The sequence below is a fragment of the Homo sapiens genome, chromosome 8 (assembly GCF_000001405.40).
Source record: "Homo sapiens chromosome 8, GRCh38.p14 Primary Assembly".
NCBI classification, from domain to species: Eukaryota; Metazoa; Chordata; class Mammalia; order Primates; family Hominidae; genus Homo; species Homo sapiens.
In genome coordinates this window covers 125265692-125280950 of record NC_000008.11, presented here as the reverse complement: position 1 = coordinate 125280950, position 15259 = coordinate 125265692, and the positions used below count along the sequence as shown (strand labels likewise).

Sequence of the window (15259 nt, the reverse complement as noted above, 5' to 3'; positions counted from 1 at the left end):
TGTAGGTTTGTAGGGCAGCAGGCAGGGAGGCAAGTATGCATTTGAGAAATTACTAACATGTTTATTCAATCCAAATATAGTTACAGATTAACTACACCAGTTTATAATGAGATTTCCCTTACCAAACTTTGAATCTTATGTGATAAAAATATTTCCTCCATTAGTCAGTGAATCGTTATTGACTCCTATGTCTTAAAGAATCTATAGACATTTAAAGGCTTTCTCCTGTCTGGGACCCAAACAAAAGAACTAAAGGTGTATGAGAGGTCAAAAGCATTGCTAGAATCAGTATCACTTTTATTATAATCAGCTGGACTTCAAATACTTTCTTTTTTAAATTAATAGGATCATTTCTGAACAGATGGTTTCAAAACTAAGTATGATGATAGTGAATATGTAGTTTTTCTCACTGTTAAAAAACAATCCTGTTTGTTAGAAAGTCCAGAGTCAACTCAGCTTTATTGCTTCAAATAAGCAGTTTGCACAGAGGACAGTAAAACTGTTTAATAAAAGAATGTAATAGGCTTAGCAGATGTTGCAACCATAGAACATTTTAGGTAAATGTTTTAGAAAGGACATTTCATTAGTTTAGAAACACTCTGGAAAATCAAATTCAGTTGCTGAATTTATGGAATCTCTCTCTGAGGATGTATTTGGGTCTGTTTCTCTCTAGTTATAAACACAAGACTAAGTTTACAATGAACCAACTTCCAGCAAAGGCAGGGAAGAGGGAGTTGTAACTCTTCTAACTAGCTCATATTATCCACGTTCTTGCTTATGTTAATAAAGGCAGCTTTAAAAAATCATCTTTTCCATTTGTTTACTGACAGCTTTTGGGGTGTTAAAGAAAATCATCACTTTCTTGGCAGTGAGTCCTCCAACATTTGGTTGATAACCACTAGATGAGAACATAAAGATGGTCCCTGCCCTCGAGGAATTTATAGTCCAAAAGGAAAACAAAAAATGACAAATAAAAAACATGCACATTGTTACGTGGTTCACACTATTTCTTACTCATTGATAGAGAGGATAGATGACTGCGCTGGGGTTACTAAGTCATTCCTCTGCTAATAACAAAGGAATGAAAATAATGCCACCTTCTTAAGGGCAAACTTAAGGCTCAAAGGGGGAAAAAGTGTTATGATTTTATAATGTCACTTAACAAGCAATCCATCCACTAAGGAGATAGGCAAGTATGAACAGTCAACATTTTAAATATGGATGCTTATTTCCTAATAATCAAGATGACACACTTGATTATTTTAATAAATTATAAGTTATGATTCAACTCGGATTCAAAAAAGAGAAAAATCAAAGTAGCAACCTTTCTATCTTAATGCATTTCTATCTTTCGCATTTTGCCACTTAGGACCAGTAAATATCCTAGCCCCAAACACTTACATTATATCCGACACAAAGTTAAGCAGACTTGACCTTACTTACCCCAGTCTACTGAATTGCTTCTAATTAGTACTCTTATTTAACAAAACGCTCATATTGTAACATACCCCATTATACATTTACTTGTGAGAAAAGTCTTAGTATGGTCATTATCATTATCATTCTTAAATAAGAAGATCATTTCTCATAAGGAAGCTACTTTTCTGAGTGGCATGGAAAATGTAATGTTCATGCTATCTCAATCAACCATTTGCAATATATATAAGAAAAAACCCAACCCTTGCTATATCTCAGTGCTCCATCTGTGCTAACTGCTCCAGGCTCAGCCACGTCTCAGCTCCCAGGTGCACGGAACCACATCTATCAAAATATTTATCCGACATAGCTTTGTAATAAGAGTGGAATGTCCTTTTTGATGATTTCCTTTGAAAAATATATATGTATTTAACTGGCAACTCTAAACTTTTGGAGATGGCAGATAACATAAATCCACTTATTTAAAAAACTTCCCCTCGTGGTGGTTATAGCTGATCTAATATAATGATTATACAAACACAAAATATTTAATATGCTTTATATTTTCACATTTGACTATGGCTCTAACCTCCAGCTGAATGTGCCTTAATTCCAATCCCATCCTGGTTCTCGGTTTGAGTTGAATCCTGGCTAGATAATAGGAAGATAATCTTAGATATAAAATTTCAGCAGCAAGGGCATATCAATATTATGCATAGTTAGTAAAAGCACTAAAGTCTACAGCAATTTTTGAACAGGTGGAAGTGAATTTCAGCTTCTGGGACTGCAATTTATACTACAGAATGAAAACCAAAACAATATCCAAAAGACAAAAAGAAAGAAAAAAGAAGACCCTCTTGACCAAAGCAAAAGCATACCAAAAATCTACTTGACTTTAAACATTCAACACTCATTGCTGAGGAAACACCTCTACCATATCATCAACATGTTCGCTGTATAATCAGTACCTAAAACAATAGGTCAGCACTTTGAGTCACCCTGAGTGTGAAGGGCAAGTGGAAAGGTCAGTTCCCTCATGCCTCACGAAAGCACACGCTCTGCTCTGCTGGCAGCACCTGGCAATGGCTTGCCTTCGCTTCCTCTGCACTAGCATACTGCCCTTGGGGCTTCTGTGCCACCCCCAACTTCCTACATTCTGAAGGAACCAGACAGCGTGGCAAGCAAACCTAAGAGCAGGGCCAGGACAGAGTGCTCTGAAGGGCCTTACTGGTGCCATTCAAGGGCCCCAAAGATTGCTCAATATCTCCGCAGGAATGTGGCACTCATTCCACCTAAGCTGGGAAAATTCCCTTAACTCCTTTTTCTTTTTATAAATAAAAGAAAACAAAACAAAATAATAATGTAAAATACCCATGCTTCCTTCCTTCCACAACAAAAAAGACCATCATCATTTAACTATAATCAATTAAAATCCAGCAAATATTTCACGGGCTATGTGCACAGCATTTTGGACCCAGACAGTTTATTTTAAGGATCCCAAGTATGTTCGTTTTCTGGAGGCTCTCCCACTGATACCATATCTAACATATTAAAAGTTGTATTTATACCCAATTAAAAATAACTTTCTGCCCAAAACATTTTTGAAAGAATTTTTGCATCTTTTTAAAAAAATTATTTGGTAGCTGGTTATTCATTTAATTTACAGTTTTCTATGATTTCTCAGTAATGACTGCTAAATTTAACATTTAAAGAAGATGACAGGCTGGGCGCAGTGGCTCACGCCTGTAATCCCAGCACTCTGGGAGGCCGAGGCAGGTGGATCACAAGGTCAGGAGATCGAGACCATCCTGGCTAACACAGTGAAACCCCGTCGCTACTAAAAAATACAAAATACCAAAAATTAGCCAGGTGTGGTGGCGGGTGCCTGTAGTCCCAGCTACTCGGGAGGCTGAGGCAGGAGAATGGCGTGAACCTGGGAGGCGGAGCTTGCAGTGAGCTGAGATCGCGCCACTGCACTCCAGCCTGGGCGACAAAGCGAGACTTCATCTCGAAAAAAAAAAAAAGAAGAAGAAGAAGATGACAAATTATTTGGTTTTACCTTTGTGCAAACACTTATATTCAATCCTGTGCCTTTTTGTGTTTTAAAGCCATTTTCTTTTGAGATCTCTAAAATTGTTTAGGTCCTGAAAAGTACCATATTATTTAGTCATTGTGCCTCTAGTGCCTAATGAATATCATGGCCTTGACTTCAGAGAGGTGACTTGAGGAGGAGATACCTTTCTCAGGAGCTAGCAAGAATGATGCAGGGTGAGCACAGGGGGAGGGAAGCCTAGGTGAGGAAAAGGATGGTTGATAAACCCATGTCACAGAGCCTCAAACTCAGTAAACCAGCAGATAGGATATCTGACCATTCAACAATCCCTTTGTGTGTTACTGGCAGAGGACACAAAGATGAAGAAAGCACTTTTCCTTCCTTCAAGGAATTCATAACCTAGTAGAGGAAATAGGACTTGAGTACAGGATACAAGGCAGAGTATGAACACTGCTGTAAGAAAGATCTCATGCGCCATCAGAACACCAGTGAACAAGTTATTACCAAGGCCACCAACCACACAACTCCAGGGGGAGCCATTCACACTGTCATCTATGTGAATGGTGTCCCCCACAGTTGTGCAATGCAGTGGTCAAGGTGGGGGAATAATAAAAGGCTTTCCAGAAGAGATGGCATTTGGCAGGTCAGTGAAAAACAGGAAGCTCTTCCACTTACTAGCAGAGTGACCTCTATGAGATTCCATTTGCTTGTCTGTAACAGGAATAACACTAACTTCATTGGGTTATTAGGATGAAACAAACAAAAATACATCTGTATATAGTATAATACCTGTGCCAAATCCACCATTCCTTCCCTTTCTCCTTCCTTCTTTATTCAAAGGTTCATGGAGGTTCTACCATAAGTCAGACACTCTATGAGGGACTGTATATACAATCAGATATAATAACCATATGCGTCTGCCTTTATGAAGTTTATACTCAAATGAGGCTATTCCATTATTAATTATTCTACAATCAGTGATAGGAGGAAGGTAGGCCAAGTAGAAAAATTAGTGTGAGAAAAAGCAAAGCAAAAGGTATCAGTAAGCAAAGTAAAATACAATCAGTCCTCCAGTTAGTCTGGAGTAAGGAAGAGGGGTTTTAGGGTGGGAAGAATGCATGGTAAGACCAACAAAGAAGGGCAGGAAAACTACACAGCAACAGCAAGTTGGAAGCAAATCAGAGTGGGAAACAGATTTAATCTATGGTTTCCATTCTGTTTGATTGGCTAAGGGCTTCCTGGAAGGCTATATTGAGAATGTACTCATGATTGTCAATGCTGGCCCTGGGCAGTACAGGGGCTGGGGTGCTATGTGAGTGGTGGACTGGGCATTCTTTGTCTAAATGTAATTGAGTATCCTGTCTTTGTAAAAAGCCACTTCTGGAAGAATCTCTGAATTTCTTTGGCAGACATCTTGAGCACTACAGCAGGACAGAAGACCCAGTGCGGGGGGCAGACCTCTGGCTGACTGATGGCACAGAAGGCCATGAGATCAAAGGAATATAGGGTGCCAGTGACTACTCTAAGACATTGGCTAAGGCTGGAATTTAGGTCGGGCTAAAGACATAACAGAGTTATTGGACTGGAAAAAGTGAAGACACTTGGGTTTTGCAGGCGGAGCGTTCTGGGTTTGAATTCCAGCTCTTACAATTACTAGCTCATTATGTCACTTAATCATTCTGAACCTTAGCCTCTCATGACAAAAAAAAATCTGGATATTAGTATTTATTCATAGGATTGTGGAAATCAGCAAAACACCTCATACGGCATCGAAAACACATTAGGTGACTCAATAAATAGTACTTCGTTTCCTCTTTCCCTGAAGTGGCTAGAGGCCCCTACATAAAACATTAGGTCTAGAGAAAAGGAATCAAAATTGGGAGAGTTGGGAGGGTGATTATCCAGTGTGGCTGGGCTGGGCAGCCAACGAGGAAATACAAATGAGTAGAATTCAGGAAGTTAGAGGGCAGTAAGAGGAAGAGAACTCAGTGGTTTGGTTGGCTATCCACAGGGCACGTTCTTACCTGCTGGATACCATGGGAGGGTACAGGGAAGAATAAAGAGTGGCACTTCTCTAGTGGAGTTCATAGCCCACTCGGCAAGATAGTTTTTAACCACAAATTATAATGAATAATGATGTGTGGCTAAGAATTAGGTACAAATGACATGAGAGGGCTAGAAGACGGGATGAAGTGTGAGGGAAATTCAGAAAGTTTCACAGAAGCTGAAATGAGAGTTGCATCAAAGGACATCAAATGTTTTCCAAATGGAGTGAGAGAAAGACATTCTCCTATGGACAGGAAAAGGATATGGAAGGGGGGTGTGAAGAGTTTTAGGGGCCTTGATATCAGCTGACACATGACTATCATACCAGATAAAAGCAGGGATAGGGAAGATGGGGGAAAAAGAAGTCAGGTGCTGAAGCCACCTAGGATATTATTCTATTTATTATTATTATTATTATTATTATTATTATTATTATCATCTTCAGATTGTCCTGAAAAATTGCAAGACTACTCAAGAACAAATAGGTTCTTTTTTTTTTTTTTTTTGAGACTGAGTCTCCCTCTGAAGCCCAGGCTGGAGTGCAATGGCGCGATCTTGGCTCACTGCAACCTCCGCCTCCCAGGTTCAAGCAATTCTCCTGCCTCAGCCTCCCAAGTAGCTGGGATTACAGGCGTGCGCCACCATGCCTGGCTAATTTTTGTATTTTTAGTAGAGATGGGGTTTCGTCATGTTGGCCAGGCTGGTCTCGAACTGCTGACCTCAGGTCATCTGCCTGCCTTGGCCTCCCAAAGTGCTGGGATTACCAGCATGAGCCACCGTGCCTGGCCACAAATAGTTACTTACTAGAATTCTATTCCTTGTCAGTGAAACTGAAGATGCATCTCTCCTACCTAGAAAATAATGACCTAAATAGGCAAATAAAAATGCATAGAACTGGAAATGTTATGGACCATATGCAAAAAAACTTGTCTAACTGAAAACTGGTAGGTGACATGGAGTTAACTGAGAGAAGAGCTTGACTCACAACTCAGAAAGCAATTCATTTTTAAAAGCTAGTATTATTTTAAAAATAATTAAATGAACTAAAAAAAAATCACTGAGGTGACAGGAATTAAAATGAAATTAATACAAGGAACATTGATTGGATTTTAAAAAATCCTGTTTCACTAATTTACTTTGGAACCCCTTCATGTTTAGTAAATAAGTTAAAAAGTTTTTTTTTGTTTCATTTTCTGTATTTTTCAGTTTCAAAATCTTGAATGCTTGAAGCTTTCTTTTGTGCTTGGGATCTCCAATCTGCCAAGCAGTACGGGTTAAGCTTCCCTGTCTGCTGGGAGTGAGTGGAGAGTGGGTGCAGAGTAGAAACAGTCTGAGAGGCCCTTGTCTCAAGAGCTCTGAAGTCCTCTGAGGATGACATCATCATTTAGGTGAATCATCTGCAGCACATTCCACCTTGCAAAAAGAGGTGCTAAACACAGCACAAGCTATGCTGAGCAGGGCAGAGGAGGCACCTGGAGGAGGGAGGCTTTAGAAAAAGCCTGGGCACCTGCTAGCTCCAGGTCCCAGCAGGAGGTATGCAGATGATCAAGAAATGACTCCACTTGTGTGATCCTGGGACTCTAACATTTATACAGCACCCCAAACTCACAGGTATAAAAACAAAGTCTTAAGAAGGACACCTGTTGACCCCAATCTGCAATATGAGTGAGGAACAGGGCCATAATTAAGGCACTGGTCTCCAACTTTACTGTTCATTTCTTAGGTCATTTCCAAGAGAAATTCAGATGATAATCCAGTGAATCGTTATCATAGTGTAGTATAAATAAAGAATTAAATAAAAGCCAGTTGCAACCTCAAATATGTCCATAAACTGTAAGTTGGAAAGGTAGTTTTAAAATACATTTTCCAATTCCTTTGAACTAAAATCAAATTTAGGACGCTGTAGGAAGGCAGTTCAAACAAAAGCTAATTTTGTTTAATGAACTAACCAGGAAGGCATTGTGAAAGTATTGTGCAACTAAATGCTTAGCTAATTACTGTGAGATCAAATAACTGTTACCATAGTTACCGCACACTGTTTTCCATAATAACTTTTATCACTTCAATAAATCTTTGTGATGCAACAAATATAAAAAGTTTACTGTAACATGACTATAATGTTTTGGAAGGCACACACTGATGGCTGACCTACTGAAATTACCTTCCCATATTTGTCAGTGAACAAGGGATGGTATCAGTATCTGGTTGACTCAATACCAAAATGTCTCACTGGCGTCTTTAATAGGCTGTAACACCTCAACAGTTGAATTTACCTGGTCCTGACTTTCAACAAGGAAGTCACTGGCCTTTTCAGTATTATACTTTGTCTCTGAATGAGAATAAAAGTAACAGCAACCATTTATGAAGCAGTAACTGTCAGGTTCTATGATAGGCGGCTGACATACATCAAGATCTAATCCTTTCCACACTGCTGCAGAATCAGGATCCTGCCCCGTGTCACCCAGCTCCCTCTTGGGAGGGGTTTCAACCCTGGCCTAGCTCCCAAGTCAGTTCTCTTTCCACCGTATTACACAGCCTTTTATATATATATACACACACGTATACGTGTGTATATATATGTGTGTGTGTATATACGTGTGTATATATATGTGTATATATATACGTGTGTGTATATATATACACATGTGTATATATATACGTGTGTGTGTATATATATATACGTGTGTATATATATGTGTGTGTGTGTATATATATATATTATATATATATATATATCCCAAGTAGCTGGGATATATATATACATAATAAGGCAATTTCTATAACTGTTTTATTGTGGCAGTATAAAGTGTTAAGGTTATACTACAATGTCACAGGATGCTATGTAACACAATGACTGACTGGTCTGTTAGCGGAAATGATGTCATAGCACCACTGGAAAAGAAACAATCTTTTAGTTTAGAACTAGTGACATTACACTCCTCCTGTCCCCATGTGCCGGGTTAGTCATTTGGTCACCTCCACTCTTTTCTGTATCTTGTATGTCCTTTTCTAGATCTAAATGCTGAGATTTTTGAATAAGTAAGTGAAAAAGCAAACGTGACATAATAAGATGGACATTAAACTTCTAGTGTAAGTGTGATAAAATGAAGAAACTGCAGATTTGCCGGGCGCGGTGGCTCAAGCCTGTAATCCCAGCACTTTGGGAGGCTGAGGCGGGCGGATCATGAGGTCAGGAGATCGAGACCATCCTGGCTAACACAATGAAACCCCGTCTCTACTAAAAATACAAAAAAATTCGACAGGCATGATGGTGGGCGCCTGTAGTCCCAGCTACTCGGGAGGCTGAGGCAGGAGAATGGCGTGAACCCGGGAGGCGGAGCTTGCAGTGAGCTGAGATAGCGCCATTGCACTCCAGCCCAGGTGACAGAGCGAGACTCCGTCTCAAAAAAAAAAAAAAAAAGAAAGAAACTGCAGATTCAATATTCAGTTGTCAATGTAAGGCTAAATAGCCTTGGCCAAGTCACCGAATATCTCTGGGTTTTCCCACCTGAAAAACGGAGCAATAATCCCCACCTATAAACTCACAGAGATATTATGCAGATTATTTAATATTGCTGAATTCTTTGAAGATATAAAGTGCTAAGTATAACAGCCATTCTCAAGGTGAAACATAAAACATACACATGATTACAGAGTCATTAAAAAGCATGAGTGAAAAACAGTATCAAAAGCAATAAAATCAAGCATGCATCCTCCAGAACGCTGATGTTGAAACCCCAGGAGCTCCTGCCTATGAAACCTGATTCATACCTATTCAGCACTCTTCCAAAGGTCTCAGTTTTAAGGGGCCAAAAGCCATTTCATTACTGGTTTCAAAGATGAACAGCTAGGAGTCATGTCAGGGACTGAATCAGCCTTTGATGACTCAGCTATTGTAATCCTTCATGTCCAAGATAACCAAAGGCTGACATCAGTCCTATGTACCCTTAATACCTAGGTATTTAAGCCGAAACTTATCCTTGACTCTACTCTGTCTCTTATTTCCACCTATCTCTTCCATTCAAGTGATTACCACAACATTCCAAATATCTTTCAAATTTAATTGTTTCTCTCAAATTTAATTCCTCCCCTTTATGTCCACTTTGATAGTATCTTAACTTAGACCCCCCTCACTACTTACCTCATCACTAGAGTAATACTTTTTTTTTTTTTTTGAGATGGAGTCTCACTTGGTCGCCCAGTCTGCAGTGCAATGGCATAATCTCTGCTCACTGCAACCTCCACCTCCCAGGTTCAAGCAATTCTCCTGCCTTAGCCTCCTGAGTAGCTGGGATTATAGGTGCGCACCACCATGCCTGGCAAAATTTTGTGTTTTTTAGTAGAAACGGGGTCTCACTATGTTGTTCAGGCTGGTCTTGAACTCCTGACCTCGTGATCCACCTGCCTCGGCCTCCCAAAGTGCTGGGATTATAGGCATGAGCCACCACTCCTGGCCTAGAGTAGTCTTATACTGACTTCCCTGCCTCCACTTTTCCCTCCCACTTACATTTATTCTTTTTTTTCTTTTTTCTAAGAGATGGTGTCTCACTATGTTGCCCTGGTTGGCGTGCAGTGGCTGTTCACAAGTGTGATCTCATTACTCATCAGCACGGAAGTTTTGACCTGCTCCATTTTCAACCTGGGCCCGTTCACCCCTCCTTAGGCAACCTGGTGGTTCCCTGCTCCTGAGGGGTCACCATATTGATGCTGAACTTAGTGTGGACACTCGATCAGCATACTGTACTGTAGCCCAGAATTGCCGGCCTCAAGCGATCCTCCCATCTCAACCTACTGAGTTGCTGGGACTACAGGTATGCACCACTGCATCCAGCTAGGCCTATCTTTTACCCTACCCAGGATATAACACACTGCTGATCATAACTTGCTTCTATTTAAAGCAATTCAACACATGCCATTGCCTTCAGGATAACATTCAGATTCTGTTTTTCGTCTTGTTTTGTTTTTTGCTTTGAGACACAGTCTCGCTCTGTCACCCAGGCCAGAGTGCAGTGGTGCGATCTCGGCTCACTGCAACCTCCACCTCCTGGGTTCAAGTGATTCTCATGTCTTAGCCTCCCGAGTAGCTGGGTTTACAGGTGCCTGCCACCATGCCCCGCTAAGTTTTGTATTTTTAGTAGACAGAGGTTCAGCATGTTGCCCAGGGTGGTCTCGAACTCCTGACCTGAAATGATCCTCCTGCCTTGGCCTCCCAAAGTGCTGGGATTACAGGCATGAGTCACCGCACCTGGACCTTTCAGATTCTTTAGTAAGTCATATAAGGATGTTCATAATCTATCTCCTGTATACTGTCTCCAACTTCATTTTTTACCTCTCTCCTTATATTCTAGCTACACTCTCTCTCTTCTTATAGCTCCTTATGCTTATTGCTACTACAGTTGCAAGACTGTATTGAAATTCTCATTATTTGTAAAGAGACTAGTCCTAAAGAACCATAAGGGCCGTGCTTGTCCTTTAGTTCAGCCTTGCATAAAGTACATACGTAATCAATAAATTATAAATGGATGACTGACTGAATGAAGGCTTCCAGAGGACAAGTTAACAAGTTATGTTTAGCTTACTTTGTTACACTCTCAGCTTGGTAAAAGGCTCTTGAGCAATTAACTTGATAGATGTTGTTAACTATTGATGATGACTGATTCAGGATGACCTATTATTGAGATTCATGTGAAGTAAGTTATCCTCTGCAACACAGACTTAAACGATTTGCTTTCCAAGCTTATAGGTTTAATCAGATTCCATGAACTATTGCCAAGAGGCAAATACTCAAAGCATAAAACAAGGATCTTAATGATCTTGTAGAAAGCTATGATCATTGAATGTTCACATTCATCAGACCCCTGCTGTAAAAAACTTCTCTTCATCCAAGCCATGATGAGCACAGGAAATAAATTGATCAAGCAGTGAGCAGAATACAGAGGAGTGTCATTTTATAGTGGCATGGTTTTGCTCCATAGATACAAAGTTAAACAGTATTTCAAAGACCAAATCAGCCATATATGAACCAGCTTCTTTTACTCAGTTAAAGAGTCGGCTGGGTGCAGTGGCTCAAGCCTGTAATCCCAGCACTTTGGGAGGCGGAGGAAGGTGATCACTTGAGGTCAGGAGTTCAAGACCAGCCTGTCAACATGATGAAACCCTGTCTTTACTAAAAATACAAAAATTAGCCAAGTGTGGTGGCACGTGCATATAGTCCCAGCTACATGGGAGGCTAAGGCAAGAGAATCACTGGAACCCAGGAGGAGGAGGTTGAAGTGAGTCGAGATCGTGTCACTTGCACTCCAGCCTGGGTGACAGAGTGGGACTCTGTCTCAAAAAAACAAACAAAAAACAAAGTTAAAGAGTCAAATATATCTTAATCCATTTTGGGTAATAAGCAAAGATAGCTATGCATGAGTTCATATTTTGTGGAATAAAAAAGAGAATCAAGAAACTAAACAATATATTTTTTAAAAAGTCATGATCTCTTCCCCAATACCTGCCAAATTTTAAAATTCCTACTTTTTGATACTCTTGCTCCTCCAAGATCTCAATTTGTATTTTCTAAGCTCAAGACTACTCCTATGATTACTCATGAGTTTTGATCTGCAGGCTCTGGCACTGCTGGCCATACCACTCTTCCTAAAATTACTTCCTCTCTTGGCTCATGCACTGCTATGGGATCTTACACCTCCTCCATCTCAGGCCATTCCTCCCAGGGCATCTCTTTCTCTTTCTAGGCAATGGGTGTATGTGCATCTCAGCTCTCTCTTTTGTTTCTGCTGAAACATTAACATTAAATTTGGATATGCAATTTCTAAATATTTCATTTTTAGCCCTGATTTTTCTCTCTGATTCCAGGTCTGCATCCCCAACAACCTAAGGAATATTTTAATTACTCATCACACCACTGCTTCAAAGAAATGTTTAAAATGAAATATACCATCTTTTCCTTTATTCTCCAAATAGTTCTTTTTGCTTGTTGTTGTTGTTGTTAATGGAGTGATCATTCTCTAGGCAGCCCATGATAAAACCTTGGGATCCTTTTCTCTTTTTTTTAACTTCTTTCTCCTTCAAACGACCAACAGAAGTGCCAGTGACAATGTCAATTTCCTTTGCCACATACGTCACAACTTTCCTTTCCTTTCTAATTTCACTAACCAAATGTTGACCTTCTCAAAAAATACTTTTTTTTTTTCTTCCTTGAGACAGCATCTTGCTTTGTTGCCCAGGCTGGAGTGCAGTGGTGTGATCATGGTTCACCGCAGCCTCGACCTCCCAGGCTCAAAAAATCCTTCCACCTCAGCCTCTGGAGTAGCTGAAACTACAGGTGGCACCATCATGCCCAGTTAATTTTTTTTTTTTTTTTTAAATAGAGATGAGGGTTTCACTGTGCTGCCCAGGCTGGTCTCAAACTCCTGGCCTCCAGGGATCCTCCCACCTCAGCTTCCCAAAGTGCTGGGATTATAGTTGTGAGCCACCACACCCAGCCAAAAAATACTTGTTTTTACGCATGGATAAGTACTCTCTCTGCTTTCTCTTTCCTTCCTAATTCCACCAGATTAAACTTTTTGAAAAATGAGTTTGATGAGGCCATCTCTCACTCAGAAGTCTTCTATAATTCAACATGACCTATTAGATAAAGTACCGATTACTATTTTTTGAGACAGAGTCTCGCTCTTCACCCAGGCTAGAATGCAGTGGCACGATCTTGGCTCACTGCAGCCTCAACCTCCTGGGCTCAAGTTATCCTCCCAACCGCAGGCTCTCAAGTAGCTGGGACTACAGGTGTGCACAGCCACACTTGGTTAATTGTTTTGTAGACAGGCCTCCCTATGTTGCCCAGGTTGATCCTGAATTCCTGAGCTGAAGTGATCCTCCCGCCTCAGCCTTCCAAAGTGCTAGGATCATAGGTGTAAGCCACCATGCCTGGCAAAGTACTGATTTCTTAGCGTAGCATTCAACTCCTTTAGCAGTTTGGTCCTGACTGTCTAGCCTTACTTCTCACATTTGGTCCTCACTGTCTAGCCTTACTTCTCACATAAAAATACATACAAACGAAAGCCTTTACACATATTTGTCTCACTAAAGTAAACCAATAAAGAGAACATATATTTAGAAAAGGTACCCTTGGCTGGGCGCGGTGGCTCAGGCCTGTAATCCTAGCATTTGGAAGGCCGAGGCAGGCAGATCAACTGAGGTCAGGAGTTTGAGACCAGCCTGGCCAACACGGTGAAACCCTGTCTCTACTAAAAATACAAAAATTAACCGGGCGTGGCAGTGCGTGCCTATATATAATCCAGTTACTTGGGAGGCTGAGGCAAGAGAATTGCTTGAACCCAGGAGGTACAGGTTGCAGTAGGCCAATATCATGCCATTGCACTACTGCCTGGGAGACAGAGCAAGACTCTGTCTCAAAAAAAAAAAAAAAAAAAGAAAGAAAAAAGAAAAGTTATGCTTTTCTGCTTCTGTGCCTGATGCTCAAACCAAATGTTCAGATTACCTTTATTTATAAATAAAGTTTTTGTCCTGTGATATTCCCAAGGACATAGTGATTCTGAACATCTCTCCTTCTTCCTCTTTAACAGACACTGGAGTACAATTTGAAGGTCTAAGTTTCCTTGCCTCCGACTTCCTTTACTAAGCCTGAATTGCAAGGAAACACAAGTCTATTATTGCTCTTTTATCTTCTATTTCTAATCCCAAACTCCTAGTACTTTCTTTTGCTATTCATCCCCAACAGGTATACTGGATCTGAAATTCTCATGAAAGCCTGAACCTTATTCAGGAGTAAGGTCAACTATAAGGAAAATGATCAGTTGGAGACAGCATTCTATTCTCTCCAACTATATAGCAGGACAAATTGATAATACATTGTATAAAACAAAATCCTAACAGAAAAAGGTGATTTATGCCTTCATATAGTCTGATGCACTTCCCCCACCAGAAGGTGAATACAGACAGTGTTAATTGTGTTTGTTCTTGTTATGAACTATTTTCATTATTCAAGAAACTTCACTAAAGAGTAAAGTCTGTAGGAATTCTGACTTTATAAGACATGCCACTGAATTCATAGTTGCTTTTCTAACCACTATTTCATTCTACAGTTTGATGGGGTTTAAAAAATAGACCTCAGCCTGACCAACATGGAGAAACCCCATCTCTACTAAAAACACAAAATTAGCCGGGCGTGGTGGCACATGCCTGTAATCCCAACTACTCGGGAGGCCGAGGCAGGAGAATCTCTTGAACCTGGGAGGCGGAGGTTGCGGTGAGCGGAGATCGCGCATTGCACTCCAGCCTGGGCAACAAGAGCAAAACTCCATCTCAAAAAAAAAAAAAAAAAGAAAAAATTTGACCTGCCCCGCAAGCTCACACAGGGTTAGCTATATTCATGTGTTCTTTATTCGGGTCACAGGATTTTGTTCTAAGTAAGGCAACTATTTTGAAGTGTGCCCTTGAGAGACAATTCATCCAGAAATGCTTACAAATCAAATAACTTAAAGTAATAGAGGGTTCATGATACACATTTACAGGAAAAAAAAGTACAGAAAGGTCAAAAGGAACCATGAAAGTCATTCTCAAATAATGGGGCCTACAAGTCTGAGAAAATTTAAAAAACAACTAAGGATCAATAGATGTTCAGAGACAAAGAAAACTAGGCATTTTAAGTGGCTATGTGGTATGATGAGAAGAGCATATGATTTGGAGTCAGAAGTCTTGGTTCTAACACAGGCTCTGCTTCTT

The 15259-nt window shown here is 40.3% G+C and overlaps 1 protein-coding gene and 1 pseudogene across 14 annotated transcripts in view, besides 1 other annotated feature; both read right to left on the bottom strand.

Moving 5' to 3' along the window:
• Nucleotides 1–15259, bottom strand: part of NSMCE2 (NSE2 SUMO ligase component of SMC5/6 complex) — a 275261-nt gene that overhangs the window by 86170 nt on the left and 173832 nt on the right. The gene's annotated exons all lie outside the window — the stretch shown is intronic.
• Nucleotides 3750–4044: a silencer, noted in NCBI's record as "tiled region #6874; HepG2 Repressive non-DNase unmatched - State 13:Ctcf". NCBI's record gives its function as "represses a minimal TATA promoter and a strong SV40 promoter by Sharpr-MPRA in HepG2 cells {active_cell/tissue: HepG2}" and the evidence as "EXISTENCE:reporter gene assay evidence [ECO:0000049][PMID:27701403]".
• Nucleotides 10049–10347, bottom strand: RN7SL329P (RNA, 7SL, cytoplasmic 329, pseudogene; annotated as a pseudogene).